General features: G+C 40.7%; 1 protein-coding gene across 20 annotated transcripts in view, besides 1 other annotated feature; it reads left to right on the top strand.

Moving 5' to 3' along the window:
* Nucleotides 1–25,450, top strand: part of RYR3 (ryanodine receptor 3) — a 555,136-nt gene that overhangs the window by 294,554 nt on the left and 235,132 nt on the right. For all 20 annotated transcript variants that reach the window (XR_001751370.2, XR_001751371.3, NM_001036.6 and 17 more), the window contains 4 exons: nucleotides 7,663–7,855; nucleotides 18,287–18,503; nucleotides 22,951–23,055; nucleotides 24,420–24,523. Coding sequence is in view for 18 of the 20 variants with exons in the window: in NM_001036.6 (NP_001027.3) it covers nucleotides 7,663–7,855; nucleotides 18,287–18,503; nucleotides 22,951–23,055; nucleotides 24,420–24,523 (619 nt within the window). In the remaining 2 variants the exon portion in view is untranslated. The remainder of the gene's footprint in view (nucleotides 1–7,662; nucleotides 7,856–18,286; nucleotides 18,504–22,950; nucleotides 23,056–24,419; nucleotides 24,524–25,450) is intronic.
* Nucleotides 7,216–7,717: an enhancer, noted in NCBI's record as "OCT4-NANOG-H3K4me1 hESC enhancer chr15:33904937-33905438 (GRCh37/hg19 assembly coordinates)". NCBI's record gives its function as "activates a minimal SCP1, AML or CMV promoter by ChIP-STARR-seq in naive H9 embryonic stem cells {active_cell/tissue: H9 hESC(naive)}" and the evidence as "EXISTENCE:reporter gene assay evidence [ECO:0000049][PMID:30033119]".

A 25,450-nucleotide genomic window follows, 5' to 3' on the forward strand; every position in this document is an offset into this window, starting at 1 on the left:
GGTATATTGGCATGTAGGTGCACTCCAGGGATTTCATCCCTCAGTCTCCAGCATCTGATGAGACATGGAGAAACCAGTGTCTCCAAGTTTTATACGTTTCATTCTCACCAAAACCCAAAGCTTTCCTGGGTCTGGGCATCATTCTGACTTCTCCAACGAGCACACAGGGAACATATATCTTGCAGAAGGGATTGGAATATGTCAGGAATATTTCTTCAGCTGAAGAAATAAAGTTTCTGTTGATGTCCCCCACCAGGACAGGCATGAATTTCAGACTATCTTATGAAAAGGTAATTGATGAAGAAATGAAACAGAAATAACACTCCAACTTACTACAGGAGAGAATGGTGGGTAGATAGGGGGATATATTAGAAAGTGGTCGTGATAAATTATTCTCCTTTTATTTGAGATTTAAATGCCCAGGTCATTACCTTTAAAGTTATTTGTGTGCATAAATTAAGCCACTGCCTTGAACATACTGAAGTATGTCTTTAACATACTTATTAAAGTACAATAGATTTTGCAGTAGTTGGAAAGAATTACAGTGCCTCTAACACTTTGTCCATGGAAAGTCAAGAACAAACAGCGTAGCTTTGGAGTTACGCCTGGGTTTGAGTCCTAGCTCTGCCACTTAATGTTTCTTTTTTTTATATTGGACAAATTAACCTCTCAGAGACTCAGTTTTCCTCTGATAAAATGAGGATACTATAAGATTCTTATGAAATTTAAATAAGAAATATGAAGTCCCTGACACACATTAGATAGACAGTAAATATGAGCTACCTTCCATCGTCATCTATGAATTGCACTGCAGTTATAAAGACCAAATCCAGAGTCCTTGGTACTTCACTCAAGACCATGAGAATAGCCCAGTTAGGGCTACCCCAGGAATATCTAAGGGAATAAAGAACCCCCATTCCATGCTGAATGAGAAAAGAATTCTCAAAGTGACATCCTGGAAGTATGAATGAGCTTTTTCTCTGTGTAGGGGAGAAGCAGCCTTAATAGGCCTTTTTAGCCATGGAAGCCTGGGAAGTCATTTTCAGGCATCAGCTGTGGGAACATCTGCCTCCTCAACTCTGTCTAACCCTCCCTACAGAGTCCAGGGTCAACTCAGACACTGTGATCTTCTCTTTGGAGGAATGGCTCTTTTTCGTGATGGTCTCACTTTCCCTCTCTGGATGGAGACTCAATGGGGCTTTCAGGATAGCAGTTGGGAGTGAATTCTGCTCAGAGCAGCCTACACAGTATGTTACTGGCTGGGGGAAGTTTCATAGGAGGAATCATATCTCCCCTTCCCTTTAACCACTTTTTCCTCCTCAGAATTGAAATAAGCAAAAGAATTGACCATCCCAAGAGATGAGTAGTACGGAAGCGAATGAATGGAGTAAAATTGTGTTTCCTGATTTATTAAGACTACTGACTCCTCAAGATAATTTACCTCTGCAGTCAGATCTGCACAAGGGGACTTCACCTGTCTCCCAACTAAGATGAGTTCCAGGGTATTTGTTTATAAAACACAGCCCACTGTGACTCAGACCTTTCCAACCCCAGTCCTATGTGGACGAGATCCGAGGAGTAGCTGCAGAAGAGCAGCGCTTTTCTGTCTTTGGATCCCCTGTCATTCCAAATGGCTAAATATTTGTGCTTGTGTTATAATGCCAAACTCTGCAGTGCCTGGACCTGTGCAAGTGCTGAGCATCGCTGTTTCCAGTTGCCTTGTTACTCATCAGAGGGGACTAAATTCTGTAATAATACACCCTGAGGTTAATTGAAGATATGCAGCATCTAATTAAGTGGCCTTTAAAAAAAATCATATTATCGGGTTTGGAATGGCCTTTCCAAGCTTCCTGGGCACTTCAGGTGGGCCTGAGCCTCCAAACCAGGGGACGGTTTTTCCTCTTGAGACTGGCAGAGATAAGAACCACTGGCCTCTTGCAGTGGATGGTCTCTAGAGTTATTCAGAGTTCCTAATATCATAAAAAGCACTTGAGGCTGCTCTTAGAAAAGCTCTCTGAAACAAGTTTGATTTTTCATTCCATAGTGTCACATTTCTGCTGGTTGTTCTAAAAGGGTCAAATACATTAAACATACTTTAAAATGTGCATGTTTTTCAGTACTGTCTTTGAATAAAGAAAGTAGATTTTAAATCACTTTTTGGATTCAGCCCTCAATGCTATAATTTCCCATATTGTTATTTTTTTCTAATATTATAAAAGGTATAATATTCCTACAGTGTCCCGGCAAACTTTTCTACTGTTAGCCTAATAATTAAGGTTCCTGGAGTTGAAAAAAACACAAACAAATAGCACTTGCTGTGGGTTACAGTGTGCGAGGCGCTCTTCTATTGCTCTATATAGATTAATTGATTCAAAACTCATAGCAGTCTTATGAGGTAGACGTTATTCCTGTTTGACAGATTAGGTAACTTGAGTCCACAAAGGTAAGTTACTTGCCCAAGGTCACACATTAAGTGACAGAGCCAGAACTAGAGCCCAGGCAGTCTGGTTCCAGAAACCCCTTGACCACTACGATAAACTGCCTCTTAAGTGGTACACAGGACATCATTTAGTTACTTCATTAAAGTGAAAAGGATAATAATGGTACCTTACAAATAACTCTCTTTATAGCATCCCTGTGGGTACCACTGTGCCCATTTTACAGATGGGGAAGTTGAGCCTCTAGTAAAATCATAGGTCCTGGTTCATGCAGCAGGTAAGGGCTTGGGATTTGAACTCAGTCCTGTGTGATTCCAAGGCCCCTCCAACCTCCCTTTGCTATCTCACTGCAGCTCAGTCAAAAGGATTTGCATCTTGTCTAAATGTGGAATACAAGACCCTTCCTAAATGATTATTAAGCCATGAAAGCCCTCACAGGGGTGGAGATTACTTTCTCTGCATGTGAGGAGATTTATAACACACACTATGCAAAAGCAATGCCACCATTCCATCATTTTCCTATTTCAAACTCTTCATACTACTCACATTTTAAAGTGAGGTGTACGTCGTCAGATGACCTTTTACAGTGTGAATATGATATGAGATGGGCTCTCTTATCCAAATAGTCTTCCCAGGACATTGCTCTAAGCACTTGCTAAGTATATCCTTCATATCCAGTGATTATCAACAGTTACCCTTTCATTTCTAGATAATATTAGTCCCAACTCTGTTCTCTACTGTACAAGCTTTAAAAATAGGCCCAGCCTATGGATTCAATTTGCTTATAACTTTTCTTAGCAAATGTTCCAAAGGAAACGTCTACGTTGAGCCCAGTCTCTTAGAGAAAAGGTGGGAAAAGACAGTGTCTTTCACCACGAGGGCATAATTGCTCCTCCTGGTGGTTATTTTCAATGGAAAGAATAAGCCAGACGGGGGAAATTCTCCCAGCCATATTTCCTCTGGAGGGCATATGGCAGCTATGGCTAAATAAAGTTCAGAGCTCAGCTCCTGTTGGTATGAAAGCCCTGCTGCAGATGAAGAGCATCCCCCATGAAAGCTGCTCTTTGTCTTCAGTGGCCGAGCCTCAGGCCAGTATAGAAGCCAACAGTGAACCCTCAGAGGACGGGAGAGAGGACACTGGAGTCACGATTCAACTTTGGCAGTTTTGTCCCAGTTTGTATGATTCTTAGAACATTAAAGAACCTTGGAATTTGTATTTTTATCCAGCAAGGATCTGAATACTTTTAAAGACAATTGTCCAGTGTAGCATTTCAATTATTTCCTGGTCTTCCTCAGTTCACAAATATTTCTTAGAATTTGTTCAAGTAGGCTGGGTGTGGTAGCTCAAACCTGTAATCCCAGCACTTCGGGAGGCCGAGATGGGAGGATCAGTTGAGGCCAGGAGTTCAAGACCAGCCTAGCCAACGAGGTGAAAACCTGTAATCCCAGCACTTTGGGAGGCCGAGGTGGGAGGATCAGTTGAAGCCAGGAGTTCAAGACCAGCCTAGCCAACGGGGTGAAATCCTATCTCTACTGAAAATACAAAAATTATCTGGGCAGTGGCGTGCGCCTGTAGTCCCAGTTACTTGGGGGCTGCAGTGAAAGGATCACTTGAACCCAGGAGGCAGAGGTTGCAGTGAGCCGAGATCGTGCCATTGTACTCCAGCCTGGGTGACAGAGTAAAACTCTGTCTCAAAAAAAAGTTGAAGTAACTACAGTGATATTTTCCAGAAGTTAAACTAATGAAAAAAAATTGTTTTTAATGGTAAAATAAATCTTAAAAGTGAGACAATTACTGCAAGCTTTGCTGAATTTTAATATATAGATTTTTTTCATAGCAAGGACTTGAACAGGAGGAAGAAAAGATCCTGGGACCTTGGGTATCTAAACTCCATACAGTGAGCTAAGAGTACTCAGTGTCCTCAAATGGAGAAATGTGAAAGATGTCAAACCTACACACTCTTCAACTTTGGTTCAGTTTTGTTTTCTTTTTAAATAATTTTACCTATAGGTGCTTCAATGAGGAAGTTGTTCCTCTTTCTCAGTGGTGAAGCAAGGTATTAAAGTTATAAAAACAGAGTCTAAGGCCACTCCAGACTATTTGCCAATATGCATTGAGTACATTATGTGTAGCAGCACTCTTGCTGTGCAGGTGGTCCAAGCTGGATGCTCCTGTCCAGCTTTATTGCCCCACCATATCTCCCTCATCCAGCCTTCATTAACCCTCAGCTTCCAGCCTTACCAAACTCCAGCCATTCTGCAACTATGTTAGACACTCCTCTTGCTCTTTCCTTTCATTTCTCTAGAGACCTTTATATTTTCCAAGTCTCAACTTGTCCCATGCTCCCAGACAGATTCCCAGGCATCTTCCTCTCCCTCTAGAAGGCAACACATACGTACCTTCATTCCATTATTTATCGTATTATTTTGTATTTAAATGTCCATTTCCCAGCAGACTATGGGCTTCTTAAGAGCACGAGTTGGGTCTTCTGTCTTTGATCCCCAGTCCCAGGTGTAGTATCTGGCACATAGGAGAGCCTCATTACTGCCTGTGGAAGAGTGGGAGGGAATGCAATATGGCTTTGTCAATTACCCAAATTAATTAGAGGGAGCTACCTAATCTTTTTTATTAATTAAAAAGAGCACAGTGATTTTACCATTTAAAAATTCACCACTTAGTTTAGAATCTGTTATAGGTTGAGTATCCCTTATTCGAAGTTCTTAGGACCAAAAGTGTTTCAGGTTTTAGATTTTTTGGGTTTGGGAATATTTGCATATGCATAATAAGATACCTTGGAAATGGGACTCAACTCTAAACACAAAATTCCTTTATGTTTCATAAATACAAAGCCTGAAGGTAATTTTTTACAAAATTTTTAATAATTTTGTGCATGAAACAAAATTTTGACTTTTTTGATGGTGACCCATCACATGAGGTTGAGTATGAAGTTCCCCACTTGTGCCATCATGTCAGTGCTCAAAATGTTTCAGATTCTAGAGCATTTCGCATTTTGGATTTTTAGATTAAGGATGCTCAACCTGAACTAGACTAGCAGTAAGCACAGAAAACATTAAATAGTTCTAAACTGGGATTATAAATATTCTATAGCAAAGATACATGTACAGAATTTGTAAATAACTCATATCCATCAGGTGGGGATTTTTTTAAATTACCTTTTCATAGCATATTATACACCCATTAAAATTAAATTTCTAATGAATATTGTATTATACAATAAAATGTTTGAGATATAATTAGTAGAACAAGCTACAAAAACCTACTATACCCCAGTTTGAATAAAAAGTGTGTGTGTGGGGCTGGGCGCGGTGGCTCACGCCTGTAATCCTAGCACTTTGGGAAGCCAAGGCAGGCAGATCACGAGGTCAGGAGATCGAGACCATCCTGGCTAACACGGTGAAACCCCATCTCTACTAAAAATACAAAAAGTTAGGCGGGCGTGGTGGCGGGCACCTGTAGTCCCAGCTACTTGGGAGGCTGAGGCAGCCTCCTGGCGTGAACCCAGGAGGTGGAGCTTGCATTGAGCCCAGATTGTGCCACTGCACTCCAGCCTGGGCGACAGAGTGAGACTCTGTCTCCAAAAAGAAAAAAAAATGTGTATAACTCCATAAAATATATATAACTCCATCAAAATAGAGTGTGTACATATATATTTGGAAGAATTTTTATGGAGTTATATTTTTTCTTTTGTATTTATTTGAGACAGGGTCTCATTCTGTCGCCCAGGCTGGAGCGCAGTGGCATGATCTCAGCTCACCTCAGCCTCCACCTCTTGGGTTCAAGCTATCTTTCCACCTCAGCCCCCTAAGTAGCTGGGACTACAGGTGCACGTCATCACGCCCAGCTAATTTTTGTATCTTTAGTAGAGACAGAGTTTCACCATGTTGGCCAGGCTGGTCTCAAACTCCTGAGCTCAAGCGATCTGCCTGCCTTGGCCACCCAAAGTGCTGGGATTATAGGCATGAGCTCCCCAGCCTTTTTGTATACTTTCCTGTATAAATGGTGACCATTTATAATGAATACATATTATTTCTGTAATCAAGAAACAAGATATCTTTTTATCTTTTGCTGGAAGCTCTATTTTAAAACCTAACTCCTCTTTTGTTGCTCTCTTTCTAATAGAAATGTAAACCTGAGAGGGGAGGGGTAGGTGGTTATAATTATTAATATTTACTTTTAGAATTTCCAGAATAAGATGATATAGGAAAGCAGAGAGGTGATTTTCCTCACTACTTTAAGTCAGGAAATAATAAATCATCTAATGAAAGAGATGTGAAGAAGTTTTTTAATCAATTCAGAGTATAACTGGCAATGTGTTTTCCTGCTTATCCGAAATAATAAAGTTCTTTAAAACAAATAAGCAAACTACGTAGCATAGTTTTTTTGTTTGTTTGTTTTTTGAGATGGAGTTTCACTCTTGTTGCCCAGGCTGGAGTGCAATGGCACGGTCTCGGCTCTCTGCAACCTCTGCCTCCCGGGTTCAAACGATTCTCCTGCCTCAGCCTCCCGAGTAGCTGGGATTACAGGCATGCGCCACCACACCCGGCTACTTTTGTATTTTTAGTAGAGACGGGGTTTCTCCATGTTGGTCAGGCTGGTCTCGAACTCCTGACCTCAGGTGATCCACCTGCCTCAGCCTCCGGAAGTGCTGGGATTACAGGCGTGAGCCACTGTGCCCAGCCTATGTAGCATAGTTTAATGGCTAGATGGCCTTGCCATTCTTCTCTTTGATGGCTTCTCTATTCAACTCTACAGCAGTCTAATCTTTTTGAGGAAGTAGAAGACAGGAAGGTCTTTGGGCACTTACAACTAAACAGACACACACACCAGCTACTTCTGAAGAGCAAGCTACACCAGCAAAAGCAGTCTGTCTGTTACTTCAGACACCAGGCCACAGTCTGAACACTCATTGAGCACATTAAGTTTTTGTTATTTCTCATTCTTAGCAGCTTGAGCATTTCCCCTGAGACTCATCGCAAATCAGGCATGGTGTCTGCCCACTCGCCAGCTTAGGAATTCATTTCTCATTGCTCATCTCACACAAAAGGAAACAAAAGGAAAGTTGCATTTCAAATGCAGTAGTACCTCCGGACCTCTTGAGTACCCATCACACCTCCCCACCTCCCGCAGAGGCCTCTGAGCCTTTCTCAGCCTAGCAGGTGCCTCCAGAGTTCCACAGCCTTCTTCCTGTTCTTTCCTCACCAGGCCGGATACCCAGAGCTGTGGCTTCCATCAACCAGCACCTCCTGAGATCGGATGACGTGGTAAGCTGCTGCCTGGACCTCGGGGTGCCCAGCATCTCATTCCGCATCAATGGGCAGCCCGTGCAGGGGATGTTTGAGAACTTCAACACAGACGGGCTCTTCTTCCCTGTGATGAGCTTTTCAGCAGGTGTCAAGTAAGTTATGGCTGTGATTTCATGGAGAGTAGCAGTTACCCCACCTCCCCGCCACCACTGTGAGCTGCGAAGCCAGCAGTCTCCTTCAGGGCTTCAGTACTGTGAACTAAGTTCCCCAGGACAGTGATGGTGCAAGGGCAAGAGCCAACTAGAGTCATTTGCTCCATCTCTACTGGTAGAACCTCCCCCAGGGGTTGTATTATGTACTCAGATAAACAGTAAGATTAATAGGATAAATCCTGTGTAGAAAATTAATAATTATAAAAGTATTACATGCTCATTATAAGAAAAACTTCAAAGACAATAGTTATGAACAACACAGTAAAAATCACCTATGATTCCAATGGTTAGCTATAATCTCTATTAATACTTTGGCATATTTTTCAAGTCCTTTCTTCTACAAATATACATCATTTTTTAATTGGTATTACACCGAATATGAAGTTTATGTCTTGATTATCTTTTATTCAACAATAATGAGCCTTTTCCTGAGTCATTGAGTATCTTCAAAATGATTTTATAGCCATATAATAGCCCTTTATTTGGCTGTTTCATGATACAGCCATTACTTTGCTGTTCAAGTCTATGCCAATTTCATTTTTGGTCAGAATGCATGTGTGCTTTAAAGTCTAAATTTATAATTATGTGGCCAAATTGATTTTGAGATTCTCTAAACAGTTCAGAATTCCTTATCAATAACTTTAGAATCTAAAAAGCTCTGAAAACCATAAATTTGTTCATAACTCATTTTGTAATAAAATCTAACCTGAACTCATTTTGTGACAAAACTGTCATCAGCAGAAATGAGGCTGTTTTCAGTCTTTCATTTATTCTACGGCTTGTGAATATTTATATGTTTAACTGCAGAGATATTAATGTGTCTGATTATGATGTACTGCCCCTCACCTGGCTGCAGTTTCTGCTTAATGTACATAACGGGTAACTTTTAAAAAAAATTCTAAAGAATTCCAAAGTCTGAAGCACATCTCTAATGATTTCAGATAAAGGATTTGGGCTTGCAGTATCATTTAAAGCAACATATGGGAATGTCCAACTGATTGGATCCTTATTAATTTTTACTGTTATTTGTTATTTTAAATCTTTGCTGATTTGGAAAAATTGTACCTTAGAGTATTAATTTTTTCTTTTTTATTACGAATGTGGTGAAACATTTTTTATGCTTACTTTTAATGTGCTTTTTCCAACACAGTATTTTTGCTAACTTTGTGTTCTCAGCCTTTCTGATATTTATTTTTTGGTAGATATCTTACATATTTTGGATATACTGACTTTATATAGTATATGTAATATATTTACATGTTTATGTATAATAATTTTATATTAAGGATGTTAAACTGTTTTTTATTGGTTTCAAATATTTCTCCCAGTTTCTGATTTATACTTTAACACTTGGGTTTTTTCCTATTGTTTTTTGTTTTTCTTTTTCACAAAAGGAATGTACATCAAAGAAAATAGGAGGAACTCATAATAGTACCACCTAGAGATAATCATATTGGCTTTTTATATACACAGTTAAATATTGTTCATTTAATTGGGCTTGTGCTATGCATGCTGCTTTCCTATATACTATTGCTATTTCTCTGCCTCTTTCCTCGTACCTACCAGTTGGATGCTATTTTTAATTATTTTAACCACGTTATTCATTTTAATGTCTGTAAGGCAAAACCCCACAATAACCCTTCTTTCCCAAACTTTCCTCAGCCATTCTTCATCCCTGTATTTTAAAGAGATCACAATCAATTGAGCAGGAGACTGGAGTCAACATAGAATCATACTAGTGTCCATGGAAGCCCCTGGAAAGGGTCATGGCAGGAGGAGAGTTGTGGGAAGCAGGAGCTGAGATCTGGGATCACAAAGAAACCATTTCAGGGATCCAGGTCCAAGTGAGGGGATTTTCAGGGTGAAACCACTCCAGTAGGCCTCAGCACCTCAGGTGGATTGGTAAACCAAGATATGTTTATATGTTTTCCAAAGTAGGATTTTGGTTCTGTTTCAATTATATAAACTATTTAGAAATAAAGAATTGTCCTATGCGAATGGTACTCAACCTTTGGAATTTGAGACAGATGTGTGTGTATGTTTGTATATATACACAAGCATATTTACAAACATATTCATATAAATGGATATAATATATTGAAGTTATATATTGGCATTGTTTGAGGTTCTTGTAACAAATGGAGAACCAGTAGAGTAAAGCTTTACTGAGGTTGAAAATCTTCTCATCACATATTCAAGCCAGGGAATCTTACGCTATCTGCAGGCACTGTGTTCTAAGAGTTGAAAGTTCTTCTGTGCTGAGGATATTTCATCCCAATTCTTCCTTTTTAAATATGTGAGGATACCACATAGAGCTATTCTCATTGACAGCCATCAGAAGCATGTGGAAAACGGGGAGTGTTGTTGACAAGAGAGGCGCTGTAAGCACAGAAAAATCTGATTGGAGCAAAAGCCTTCTGGAAGAGGGAAAGGACCTTCTAGCCCTATTTTCCATCTTCCCCACTCCACTCCTTAGGAATAAAGAGAATGAGTACAAATATAAATACAACACAACAGTGTTGGGATCATACACCCTTTGACTCAGGAACTTTCCTGAAGAAACAAGGTTACTCTGAGTAGTCAGTTCCCGGGACTGCATTTGCATGTGTAGCTGGTGGCCTTGGTCACCCACCATTAATACTGCTCCCACTTTTACTTATTTTGCCCATGTCCACTCATGGTTTTTTACTCATTTTCAAAGGGAGTACACCTATTTCACAAGCAAGTCATCTGAAAAAACTACTTAGGCAAATTTAGATCTATGGAGAAGGGATCTTCTCCAGTCTACTAGCTAATGAACTTTTCCACATTTTGTGTTTAGAGAATGGTACATCTGCTCTCAAATGTTGCATAATGATTCTGAATCATTAGTTCATCCCTTCCGTCTCCCTCAGAACAGTGAGATAGGATCTTTGTGTCTGTGATTTTTTAGAGGGTAGTGGAGGGATTTTTTTGGAATCCTCTTGACAAGAACCGCAGTTAGCAGGTGAAAAAATAGTTGACTGAAAGGTATCCACATGTAGAAGACATTTCTGGGATCTGGTGTCTAGGTCAGCAGATCATGCAGCCTTCTGAGTGCACAGATAAAGGAGAAGCAAAGTTGCAAGAGAAGAAGAATGAGATGACTAATCATTTAGGAGGCACAACTGCTGAGGAAATTTAAGAAACCGAAGGGTCCAGATGTGTTGACTTGAAGAACCAACAGCTTAGCTCTGAGAGCTTTTTGCTTATAGCAGCTGAACAGGTGGAAGGCTAAAAAGCAGTGCCAGTGGGGTGTGCAGCGGGGCTTGAAGTCACTCAAGCTTCCTGTCTCTCAGGAAACTATGAGCTCTGATATATTCCTGGCTTCGGGTCTCACAGCATGTTGTGATTTGAAGAGAGGTGGAACCACAGGGTCTGTGTAGTTGGGAAATACATTTTACTGAAATGCCTCTAGTGCATCACATGATGACCTTGGTCAGGGTCAGTGCAGGACCTGTACTGGGGGCTAGCCAGTTGCTTATAAATCAAAATAAACCGATTGGGTATTCTACAACCCAAGTGTTATTCTTACATCAACTGGTAAAGTATGATTTGGTGCTGAAACCCAGCAGTTCTTCTCTGTACTACTTTAGTTCAGTTGAACAAAGAGCTAGAAAGAGAAACCACAATATGAATTCCAAGTTAATTAAAGTATCTTATTGAAAAGAAATGTATTGGTCGGGCGTGGTGGCTCACGCCCGTAATCTCAGCACTTTGGGAGGCTGAGGCGGGCGGATCATGAGGTCAGGAGATTGAGACCATCCTGGCTAACACAATGAAACCCCGTCTCACTAAAAATACAAAAATTAGCTGGGCGTGGTGGCAGGCGCCTGTAGTCCCAGCTACTTGGGAGGCTGAGGCAGGAGAATGGCGTGAACCTGGGAGGCGGAGCTTGCGGTGAGCAGAGATCACACCACTGCACTCCAGCCTGGGCGACAGAGTGAGACTCTGACTCAAAAAAAAAACGTATTTTATAATGAAATTGAAAAGGAATTATTGTTTCACCCAATACTGTAGATCACTTGCCTGGTTTTATAGCATCTCTCCCAGCAAGATGCAAAGTGTTATACCTGTCTAGAAAGAGATTCTTTTTCTCCCATCATAGAAGTCTTCAGAGTTGTTTCTCATATTTATTTTTAACTTCCGTATGGCTTCTAAGTTAGACTTGAGTTCTCTTTCACAGTCCTGTTTCCTCCTGTTTAATGGTCTTTACTGAGATCCTTGTCTTGAATTTTTAAAATAATTTTTATACTTACAAACTATGTTGTTAATAATACCTGATTAGGATGTCCCTGCCAGCCGTCATCGAAGAGCAAAGCTACATGAAGAGCAAAAATCTTTTTCAATTAGATTTACCCACAGTGAAGTCAAAGTTAGCATGAGTAATTACTGACAAAACCCACAAATCAATGTCATAGCCTCTTTTCTCTTAATGAATATGCCTCCATAGTTTTCTTCTCAATGTGGTTTGTTTATAGACAGTATTGTTAGTGCAGTAGGCCCCCAGTGTAACAACCGTATTCATTATAGAATAGAATTTGGGATGAGGTATATGTACCTTGTAGCCCACCGAAAAGGCTGAATTACTTAGATGCCAGGAAGCTCTTACTAAAAGTTGATCTTATATACACCCCACAAGTGGCATGAATCAGATAGACAGCATTATACAGAAAGCCATAGTATATAGTGAAATTTGGGTGCTAATTTTTTTTTGCAGAAAATTCATGAGTTAGGCATCATAGAATATATTTTATGGCTATAGTTAAACTCCCCATAAATCTATTTAATCATCTTATGTAACTCTTTTGCCAGCTCTAATTTATAAAAATAACCATATCCAAAGATGTTGTATTTGTGGTTGCTGTTTGTTTTCTGTTGGTATTCTCCAGACTTGGCTAAAATTCAGGTAACCAACAGCTTAGCTATTTCCAGCTTGCTGTGGTCAATGCTGTGGAAATTATTGCTGAGATAAATATGCTTCTTCAGAGAACATGATGGGCACTGGCTGGATTGCCCTGAGCTTTCATCAAACACTAGCCAGAAAGAAATATGAATGTGGGAATGTCCATAACTCAGATTGTTCTCCAGTCTTAGCGATAGGGGCTAAAGATGCAATTATGAATCGTGACTTACGAGTCAAATTCAGGTCAGCAAAAGCTGGCTCATTCTTTCTCCTCTTAACCACAGCTTGTATCCTTTTCTTCTGTGAAACATTATCCCAGCTCTCTGGGAGGAATTCGATAGCAGATAACAGTAATGAGACATCTAGCAAGACTAAAATGATTTTACACGTTTGCTAGCAAGCTCTGAATAATAATATGATAGCCTAACGAAAGGAAAGTTAGTCACCCCCTTTGAGCACAGCACAGCTTTGTCATGATTTTTACTATATTTTTTTCTTAATGGGTCAATCTTTCAAATCTGGGAATTTGTAGTAGGTAGACCCATCTCTCCTGCAAATTAACAAGCAAAAATGCACAAATCTCAAAGACGAAGTTGAAAATGCTGGCAGAGATTTTTCAATATAATTTGTCCTGTGTTTTCAAAATCAGTCAAGTAAATAAAAATTTCCTCTACACATCCCAAAACTTCACTACTCCCAGGCAGCTCTTACTGAAGCTATTGCTCATCTATGAGGTGAAAGAATCTAAGGACAGAGTCGCTTACTGTAAACACTTTAGGAAGGAAAAAATCTTTGAGAGCTGATGAAATATCTGAGTTATAGAAAGAACCCCAGAAAATGATACAAGTGCTGTGGTGGAACGGATTAAATAGATTAATGAATTTGATTTTTTAAATCCATTAATGTAGAGAAAAATCTGAGGATAAAGAGGAACTAATTGTAATGAAATCAGTTCTTCAATTCTCTTTTTAATTTTAAATTTAACATTTTGGGGATGCTGGGTGATTCCATGGAACTCAAGGAGCCAGGGAGGAAAACATGTAGAGAGGGGAGATTTACATTCCAACTGGACATTTCTCATTTGTGAATGAGGCAAAGGATTTAAAAGATAAACATGAAGTGCCAGGTAACAATTTACTGAGAGAAGTGGACTGGTAGGTTTAACTTTATTGCTTCTTCTTCTACCCCTGTAACTCCATGCTCTGGAGAAGTTCTCGGGTAGGTCCTGTAGCTTTTATTACTACTTTTAGGAACAAGAACAATTTTGTCAGTAATTCGAAAGTTCTATCTATTTGAATATAAAATCAAAATTTGTATTCAGTTTACAGCTTGAGCCCTTCCCCAGCTTGGGCCTGCAGTATGAGGCAGCTGCTTCTCCACATTGGTCTGCCCCTCCCTGATTGGCCAGCTCCTATTGCAGACCCCTCTAGAGTTGAGACCCAGGGAGAGATGACTGGAGAATAGGCATGTCTGATGGAGTCAGTGCTATTGTCAGGTAGCATTGAGTCTTTGTGTAGCAGTTGTACAGTTGCTGCCTCTTTCTTTTCTGGGACCCTTTTGTAGTTTTCTTAGCCTCAGGCTGGGAACTTCTGACCACAGTTCTTTTGACACAAACCTTACCACTTCTGTTGGCTGCTCCCTCTGGCTGACCCTAAACCTCCCTCCAGATCCCCTTTCCCACATCCCCCAGCCCCTGGGTTTCTGATCTCTACTCAGACATTTGCCTTTCTGGGAAGTCCCTTTTTAAGATGGCAGATGGTGGGCTCATTCATGGAGCCCTTAAATAGCCTTCTAGGGAGCACAGTCCTTGGCGTCACCCTGAGCGAAAGGGCACCTCTTTTCCATGCAGCCCTTTCTCACACTGTCAGCTCTATCACCAGGAAAATGTGTCCCTCAGTAAACTCCAGAGGACAGTTGTCAAGCTTCCACGTGGTTTCTTGAAACCCTTATCGTTTGGCTTCCGAAAAGGGAGAACGCTTCTCCCTTTCTCCCTAAAAGTTCTCTCCAAAGGAATTCTTTCCTTTATCCGTCTAGAGGTGTGTGATAGGCTGTGGCTGATAGAACTGGTTTCACAGTTTTTTAGTATATACTACATAGTTGACTCAGCACTTCACTTTAGGATGTGAAAATATTTAGCATCCTCTGAATTATGGATTCATATATCTAACTGTGGGACCTCAACCAAAACTCTGAGACAGAGGGGAGCCCACTTTCATATACTCAGATAATTAAAATGAGTTTCAAGTATTTTGTTACCTTCTTTCAGTCGTTCCCTTCAAACCTGAATTTTATCTCCCTAGTTATTACCTTTGATCTCATCAATCTGGATCTCATAGGGCAAGTTACGAAGGGGACCTTCAATATTTGTGGCGGTTTGTTGGATCGCTTCTCACGGACTCTGGGTAGTTTGTTCACAGGCAGTGAGGGGAGGAGCCACAGGTGGTGGGTGTGCCCTGGACCACTGTCTGTTCAATCTGCCTGCTGAGGGCACAGGGAATGTCATCTGCAGGACTTCTGAAGCAATCCAGGACCTTTTCTTCTACCCAGTGAAGCACTGCACGATGATGTTTAAAGACCAAAGCTTCAGTATGCAGTAAACACTGATTCCTGCCTGTGTTAATTTATTTTACAGTTTATGTGGCCATTAGAGAAGATGAGATTCAGATTTATAACCAAATGATCAGTCTCCTTTTAATAACTGAATATAAAAACTAAGCGTTGTTCTCATTAAATGCTACCTGAAACTCTACTTTTCTTGATTTGTTATCTTATCCAGCAGATTTTAAAACCTAAGAGAAATTTTGAAACTCAACAATTAGCAACAGAGCTCATGAATAATTAAATTCCTCTAGAAATCCTCATAAGAGATCATTTACTTGTTCTTGGAGTCCATATGCTAGTGAGTAATGGAATACACTTACTTGCTATACAAGCTACTAGGCATTCAGCTGCTCACAGGAAAGATGCTCAATGAGAAGAGAGAGGCAGAAAATTTCCCACACTAATTCTTTGCCCAGAAAGATCCAATTTTATCCCATGGTTTCCATATGTCAGTACACAATCTGTTATGTTGCAATTGAATTGGGAAGTTCTCAACAAATAATTTTAAGATTTAGTCATTATTTCCTGAGGTTCACTAAATTAGTAATACTGCAGGCTAATGACTCAATTTTGTTTTAATTTCATTGTTCAAATTCTTAATACACATAGATTGTGTCCTATTACATAACACTTAATGTAGGCGCATTCACAAGGGACAATTGTGATTCTAACTCTATATCATTATTATTGAGTACCTTAAAATAGGAAACTGGGAGGTTTAGTATGATTTCTATAATTAATTTTAAAACAGCATTTTATAAAATGCTTTTCAGATAAAGTGTCTGCTCTTATTGGGAAGGAAAAAAACCTTAGCACCTCTTTACTTAAAGAGGCTTTATTTTCCAGTTTCACGATTAGGATATTTCCACGATCACAATTATGCAGCCAACACTGAGAATATCTTGTAAGGCTGCCCTACCAGAACGTTCCAGTGAAAGGAAGTGAGGCCCACTGGAAAGTATCCTGTTGTGAAAGTTTTGCCAAATCATAACTTTTCTCCGTTTACCTCATCCCCCTCCACACATACACTCAGTCCATGAGCAATTCCGAACAAGCCTAATTCCACAACAAAACTGGAAGTGGCTGCTTGGATCACCTCCGTCCAACCCACCATTATCTCCCTCTGACTATTTCAAGAGTCTCCCAATTGGTCCCCAGATCTATCTGCATAGGGCGACTAGGAGAATCTTATATTTCCTTACGTTAAAACCCATCAGCAGCTTTCCATTTGGAATAAAATCCTACCTCCTTGTCGGGGCTCATAGACCCTGCCTGATACAGCCCTACCACTCGGGCTCATGGTGTTCTCACCCACGCCACCCTCCTTTCTGTTCATCTGATCCACCCAAGGTCTTCTCCACCTCAGAGCCTTTGCGCTTGTTCCTCTGCCTGAAATGCTCTTCCTCCAGATCTTGAGCTCACTGATTTCTCCTTACCCCTCAGAGTTAGCTCGCATGTCAGAGAGGCCTTCCTTGACACCATCTCTAGCAGCCAACCCCTTACTTGAGTGATTTCACATCTCCCTTTTTAAAACCCCATCAGATGTCTCCCAATCAGTAATTAACGCCTATTTGTCTGCTAGAATACCTGCTCTGTGACACCAGGGATGCCATATACCTTGTTCATTGCTGAATCCCCAGTACAAAAGCAAGTGCTAATTGTATGGGCTCAGTAAAGATTTGTTAAATGGAGAAGGGCAGGGGAATGAATGTTGTACATAAACACTGCATATATATTGGCTTTTTTCCAGTGTTCAATTACTGTTGAACCTCCAGAGCTCCATATCTCGCCATGTTTTAATTATGGAAAACTGGTTGTATTTCCTCATCAATTTAATGTGGTTGCAGTTGACTTGTGAAAGCTCTATTTCTGATTATAAACCTGGGATCGTATGAAGTATCATTTTGAAATAGCTTACTTTCACCTTCTTTTTGCATGGGGAACTTTAGGGTCCAATCTAACTCTAACCTAACCCATATATATGAGGCTGACTTTCAGCCAGAATACTGAATTACAATATTGAAAGACTTCTGCATGGTGGTAATCAGAGCCTGCCTGCTATTACTGTGAGACCTTTAGTGTCCTTCCCCACTTCGTTGGGAAGTCCCAGTGAGCACTGCAGGAGGTGGGCCAGGGTGTCAGGACTGGGTACTATCAGGAGGATGATACTAAGAAAGACACTGGGATCCCAGTGAGCAAACTCTTGATGCCTATCTGTGCCCATGCAGCCATGGCTGCCTCCTCACAGCCGCCCCCATATGGCTGCTGCGGGGGAATGCGGTCTCCACAGTGTAACATTTTTAAGTAACCTCGCCAGCCATGTACCATTTGTGATTAATACTCTGATGTTACTTAGTCTTTTCCCCTGAATATTAAAATAAGATTTTAATACTTTCTCCATATAGTTACGTCATGCTTTCTTTAACTGATGTGTGGATAATCTCCCTCGAGAAGAGTTGAAGTTATCACACTGTAATTTTTATATGATCTTTACAGAGAATAATCTCATCACTATTATGTTTTTCAATACTGCAATAATATCTATAGTAATTATTTACCTATTAGAGTACAGATAAACTTGGTTCTAAAAACCTAGTGGTTTATGTATATAAATGTTTAGGAACTTAGCCGTGATGGGTCAGCTGAGGATCAGCCTTGATGCTCACTTACCCCTCTGCTGTTTTGTTACATACTGGATGATGTTTGCTGTGGTTAACCTGAAGTCGTTTACTTCTCAACAAAATTATGTTGAGGGTGGGAGGTAGGGATTGATCTTTAATTTTCACTTATTTGGGCTGCATTGTTTTTTTTTTAACCTCTGTATTTCTGCTATCTTCAAATGACAGAGTACGTTTCCTGATGGGTGGACGTCATGGAGAGTTTAAGTTCCTGCCTCCCTCTGGCTATGCCCCTTGCTATGAAGCCTTACTTCCAAAAGAGAAGATGAGATTGGAGCCTGTCAAAGAATATAAACGTGATGCTGATGGCATTAGAGATCTCTTGGGTACCACCCAGTTCCTCTCCCAAGCCTCTTTCATCCCATGCCCCGTAGACACCAGTCAGGTAGGTTCAAATTGCCCGCAGAAGGCAACCAATATAGATGAAGCAATAGAGTTAAATACTTCTTTCTTTCTTGTTTTTGAACCTTTCTTAATATACATGCTCCAGAATTGTTGTATAATGTGAACAACTGTTACTCCTCACATTTTCACCATGTGTGTCAATTGGGTCTTTAAGGATTTCTCAATCAGTGAACATGTTGAGCACCTGCTACGTGTGTTATATTCTGTGAAGGATAGACAGAAATATTTATTGTCTGGGAATTCTCAACCAAGTTAAAGATGTAAGAAGCAAATGTATTATTTTTTTAAAAGGCCAAATGTAATAAATGCAAAATGGACAGTATGCACCAGTAAATACTAGAGAAATCCTTTAGGCTAGAATGTTTCTAGAAGTCTGTGTGGTAAGGGTGGAATTCAGTTAGAGCCTTTAAAAAGCTTAAATGGGGAGGGAGGGTCTCCAGGGGTGATATAAAAGAAATGGTATAAATAAGGGCCTAGAAGTAAAAACACAAAGTAGAAGTATAGACAGGTGGCAATGCGTATTCTCATATGGCTGGGCTCTGGGAAGAGGGAGGAGCAAGTAGGAGAAGAGTTGGAAAATAAAAGGGAGAGAAATGGAATAGCGTGAAGGGCTTTGGAAATGCTGATAAATGGATATTTTCTTTCCCCTCCAGGGTCTGTAATTTGAGAGAGACACATTCACGTGGTATTACAAGGGGCATGCAAGAGCTTTCAGCATTTTCTACACAGCAGGGCTATTTGAATCACTATTCTAGGTGTTATAGAAAATAAATGAAAAGAGACCATGCCTCTAAGGCACTTGGGGTTAATCATTTCCCCAATATAGCTCTTTTAGCCTAGAGACTTTCTCTAGCATGCATTTTTCCCATAATATTCGTATGACCCTATTACATTCATCCATGTGTATGTGTTCATGAGTCTGCTTCTTACCTCCTGTGGCTAATGACTATGTATTAGTCCATTTTCATACTGCTATAAAGAACTACCTGAGACTGGGTAATTTATAAAGAAAAGAGGTTTAGTTGACTCACAGTTCTGCATGGCTGGGGAGGCCTCAGGAAACTTAAAATCATGGCGGAAGGTGAAGGAGAAGCAAGCACATCTTCATAAGGCAGCAGGAGAGAGAGAGCGAATGGGAAGTGCCACACTTTTAAGCCATCAGATCTTATGAGAACTCTATTATGAGGACAGCAAGGGGGGAAGGCTGCCCCTATGATCAAATCACTTCCCAACAGGCCCTTCCCCCGACATGTGGGAATTACAATTCGAGATGATATTTGGGTGGGGACACAGAGCCAAACTATATCACTTTTGATATCATTTCAGTATTTCTCTGCCTGCTTCACAGAGTACCTTAATGGGGAATGAGAATGTTGATAGGAAATTGAGAGGGGGTTGTGAGCTAGAGGTGATTCTAAGAATTAGATCATCTGGGTCCTGTATATTCTAGATGTCAGGGAGGAAAAACTTTTCTTCTACCCTCCTAGGTTCTGTTTTTGGGGTCCTGTGAATTAAGCTCATATGGACAGATTAGCAAGAGAAAAAAACATTTTAATCACCTGGTATGGAGTTCACAAAGGAATGTGGCTCAGGGAGGAAGTTAGAATTTGGAGCTTATATACCATCTTAATAGGGAAAGGAGAAGGGGAGAAGGGCACTTCTGGGAAAATAAGTGTCTTTGGTGAAAAATAAATGATTCCTAAGGAGAACAGATAGGAGATACGATAGTTCTGTGATAGAGCCTGTTTAGGTGTGATGCTGACCTTTCTCTGGTGGTAGAAGTCAATCTCCCCTGGGAAAAAAATTGTTGAATTCTTTTGGGGGGCTCTTTTTTTAGGCAGATAAGAGGAGTCCAGAAAAAGCCCCATCCTGTATCATTTGTTTTTCAAAGTCTTCAGCTCAAAATAATCCTTATACCACTGTGGCATTTTCTGGACTCCTTCATAGACAAGAAGCTTGAAGGCCAAGGCCTGAAGGAGCTTATCCATGGATGCAGGGCTGCTGGTGCCCAAGCAGGCAGAGAGTAGAAGCATGAGTGTGACTCCTGTCTGGGCTGCCTCTCCTGACTTAAGTAATCAGAAACATGTGTGTTAGATAGGGTTTTCTAGAAGATGCTGGCCTCAACAAGGGTTCCAAAGAATGAGGTAAAGTTTTGATTGGGAAGACTTGTTGAATGGCTTTGACCAAAGTGCTGATAGTTATATAGACAATAAGGTCCAGTCTGAGGTGGCCTCAGATGGAGATAGAGGAACTTGTTGGGAACTGTAGTAAAGGTCGCTCCTCCTATGCAAAGAGACTGGCGGCATTTTGGAACTTTGAATTTGAGAGAGATGATTTAGGGTATCTGGGGGAAGAAATTTCTAAGCAGCAAAGCATTCAAGAGGAAGCAGAGCGTAAAAGTTTGAAAAATTTGTAGCCTAACGATGCAATAGAAAAGAAAAACCCGTTTTCTGGGAGAAATTCAAGCCCACTGCAGAAATTTGCATATATAACAAGGAGCCGAATGTTAATCACCAAGGCAATGGGGAAAATGTCTCCAAGGCATGTCATTGACCTTTGCAGTAGCCCCTCCCAGAGGCCTAGAAGGAAAAAATGATTTTCTGGGCTGGGCCCAGGGCCCCCTTGCTTTGTGCAGCCTAGGAACTTGGTGCCCTGTGACCCAGCCACTTCACTCCAGCTATGGCTAAAAGGGGCCAAGGTACAGCTCAGGCCATGGCTTCAGAGGGTGCAAGCCCCAGGCCTTGGTAGCTTCCACGTGGTGTTGAGCCTGTGAGTGCACAGAAGTCAAGAATTGAGGTTTGGGAACCTCTACCTAGATTTCAGAGGATGTATGGAAACACCTGGATGTCCAAGCAGAAGTTTGCTAAACGGGTGGGGTCCTCATGGAGAACTTCTACTAGGGTGGTGTGGAAGGAAAATGTGGGATTGAAGCCCCCACACAGAGTCCTCACTGGGACACTGCCTAGTGGAGCTGTGAGAAGAGGGCCACCATCCTCTGGACTCTAGAATAGTAGATCCACCAGCAGCTTGCACCATGCACCTGGAAAAGCCATAGACACTCGAGCATGCAGGTCCTCCTGAAATGGATGGTTAGTTCTCAGCTCCAGCTGACAGACACCAGGCAAAAGTGTGGGTCCCGTGTTAGCCATCTTCTAAGTTGTCAAAAGAAATGAGAAATCTGGAATTTTATATGAAGTCTCCCATTTCTTAGGGATTGTCAACCAATAAACATGAAAATAATAATAATAAAAAATCTGAGAGGAAACAAAACTTAGGCTCCCAGTTTGTGACCCCTGTGGCGAGATAGGAGCAAAACACCAGGAAAATACAGAGGAACTCTCCCTTTAGGTAATCAGGGGAGACTTCTCAAAGGTGATGACATTTGAACTAAATGCAGGAGGATAAACGTTGAAGGTATTTGCCAGGTGCTGAGGAAGGTGGGTGTGTGGTGGAGGGTGTGTGTGATGTATATGGTGGGGAGTATTAATAAGGGTTAAGGTTGCATATGCAAGGGCACAGAACTGTGAAACAGTGTGGTCTTTTGGGAGAATTTCAAGAAGTTTGAAAAGGATGTGTTTGTAGAGACAGTGATGAGAACTAAAGAAGAGCACTGTGTATGTGGTTAATACATCTAGTCTTAGTGTCAAGGAACACTTGGGTGACACTAGAGAGTGTTTTGACATGATTTTTTGTTGTAGACTTGTCCCACTGGTTGCAGTGTAGAGGATAGATCAGTGGAGAGCTGGGGAGGCCAGTTATAAGGCTCTTGGAATGGTCCAGGGAGAAAATAATGAGGTTGAGTAATGGAGAGAAGGGAATCCCTCAGAAGGACACTTAGGAAATGAACATGGTAGGTTTCATGACTGATTAGATGGGGGAGTAGTGCCAGGGGAAGGATAATAGGATGACTTCCAGGCTTAAAGAGGTAGTGGGGCCATGCAACAAAAAGCAAAAATAAAAACAGGAGGAGAAAAAAGATTTTGAAGGAAAAATAATGAATTCAGCTTTGGGTAACATATTGAGCTCACTTTAATGGAAAAATCCTGTAGGCAGCTGGAACCATGAGTCTAAACTTCAAAAGAGACCATGGTTAGAAATGGCCTGACTTGGGAGTGATCATCTACTGGGTGAGAGAACATGTAGAGAGGAAATAGGGTGAGGCAAGTATTCACATGTGAAGAACATTCAACACATACACCTACAGAAAAGACTAAGAGGCAATGGTCAGAGAGACAACAAGGAGCAGAGAGGAAGCCAAGAAAGGAAGAGGGAGGAGGGCTGGGGAGCATGTGGGTCAGGCAGCATGAGGTCGGATACTGCAGCTCCTCCTGGGTGATGTGCCAATTCAAGTGGGGTGCCCAGCTCCTATAGATTTTATGATAGGTTTCAAAACAATCGATTCTTTTCACTTGCTCCTTTTCCTTTAGGTTATTTTGCCACCTCACCTAGAAAAGATCCGAGACAGACTAGCTGAAAACATCCATGAGCTTTGGGGAATGAATAAAATAGAACTTGGCTGGACTTTCGGCAAGGTATGTGTCTCAGGGCCAGGTTAGGGTGGAGGGTGGGATTGCCTTGTTGCCTGGAACTGTTCTTCCTGCTGCATGCCTAGTTTTCATTGCATTCACTAGTTAGGAACACTGAGGAGACCAGGTCTTCACAGACAGAACCAGAAGTGTCTCCCCTTTCTTAATCCCAAATACTGGTTTATTTTATTCGGGATATAGCACTGTTTCTCAGCACTTGCTTCAGAATACTCACATCTCTCCTTCAGAAAAAAAGTTGTCATCTCTGTATGGGTAGTGAAAAGTGGCTGATTCATTGTTTTGAATCAGAACTTGTTTAATATGGTTTTCAGATGTGTCACTAAGATTAATGGACACTCAGAGGAGGATAGGGAATCTTTCATTAGAAATCATTTTTCAGAGAGAATGTAAATTGACTGTGTTCCATGATTTGTGTAAGGTCATGTCTGAAGGCAGAAGGATAGGTGAGTTCTGAAGCTTCCTATAACGCCAACTCTCTCAAATGACACACATTCTAGCTGAGTTACTGACAGGGTCTCTGCACTCCCACACTTGTGTATTTATATAGCTACCATAAAATATTTTCACATGAGGATGGCTTCACCATTGAACTCCTAATATCTAGCTCAGGGTCTGTCGTGTAGTACAGGCATTCAACAAATGTTTGTTGAAAGAATGAATTACTTAATGTCTAGAAGTGTACTGTCTAATACAAAGCCCCGAGTCACATGTACTTGAAGTGTGACTAGTTTGGATTGAGATGTACTAAAAGTGTAAAATAGTCACCAGATTTTGAAGATTAGTGTGGGGGAAAAAGTAAAATATCTCATAAATAATTTCTTATATTGATTACTTGTTAAAATGATTATTTTGCATTTATTAGGTTAAACAAAACACATTAATTTCAACTTTTCTTTTTGATTTTCTAATGTGGCTACTAGAAAATTTGAAATTACAAATGTGCTTCACGTTTGTGGCTGACTTTTGGTTCTACTGCACAACACTGGTCCAGATTCTGTAGCCTGTCCTATGCTGAAGAATGTTCCTCTTCAGAAACGTTATGGTTACATGAATTTTGGAGGAACAAGAGCATGGCTGCCACATGTAGCACTGCTTCTTTCGGAAAGTATGTTCAAAATGCAGATGCCTGTCTAGAAATAAATCCACGGAGCACAAACCACTGGCAACTTGGAGACTGTGTGTCTCATTGACTAGAGAGATCATCTGTTTGCCGAATAGCAAGTTGCTGTCTTTCTCTTGCCTGATATGGATTGCCTGGGCCATGTTTCAAAGTATGTTCTGTTCTGTTTTCCCATGCAGTGCCAGCTGGTCAAAACTTAAATCACATTCTTTCTTATGTCACCACCTAGATACGAGATGACAATAAAAGACAACACCCTTGCCTTGTGGAGTTTTCAAAGCTCCCAGAAACTGAGAAGAACTATAACCTGCAAATGTCAACTGAAACCTTAAAGTGAGTATTTAATTGAGCTGAAGTTTTACAAACAATGAATAGATGATTTAATGCATTATAACTAAACTGCAAAGATATGTCTCTTGCCTGAAAACGTGGCACATTCTGATAAATTAGAGGAGATGATGATGAATCATGTCACAAGAGGATTTAGCATAACCATCCACCATTATTATTGACTATATTTCTTAAACCATTTGCTATTTGCTAGGGGCAGGGAAAAAGTAAGAGGCAGAAAAGAAACTTAGAATCAAAGGACCAAGTACCTCCTGCAGTTCACATTAAATAAAGGAAAAAAAATGAAGCATTTCTAAAACCCGTTGGGAAACCTGATCTGATACACTAAAATTCAATTTTAAAATAATTTTCGCTTCTCCGTGATGCTACCCATGGGCCTAATTTAGACTTTAACTTCTCTAGCCTAAATTGTTATCTCCCATTTTGAATTCTTTGGGGGCTTGTTACCTGTTCTCTTGTCTTTGTATTTCCCTGTTCTCTAGTTGTCACTGCAGAACATTTTAACTTTGTGGTTTTGTTGGCATAACGATGCTCCGTAAGGTCCCTTGTCCCACAGGCTTACATGGGATACCTTCAATTACACTGGCACCTCTTGAGGGTATGGCTTTGTACTTCATGGTTTTAAGCACAGCTCATGCCCTTACAGGCATCATGCAGTAAATATTTGCTGACCTGTGGGCTGGATATTAGAATTCTATCTGTTCCATGGAATTCGAAGAGGCATATAATTGTAATGCAAATTTATAAAATAGAAAAATGTCTCCAAGAGGGGCAATTAACAAATTTCTCTTCTGTAATCTTATGCTTGCTATCATCTAAATCGGGAGTTGACAAATTATGGCCCATGGGACAATCAGACCAGCTACCTATTTTTGTAAATAGATTGTTATTGTAACAGAGTCAAGCTCA

Source organism: Homo sapiens, chromosome 15, assembly GCF_000001405.40.
Source record: "Homo sapiens chromosome 15, GRCh38.p14 Primary Assembly".
NCBI lineage: Eukaryota > Metazoa > Chordata > Mammalia > Primates > Hominidae > Homo > Homo sapiens.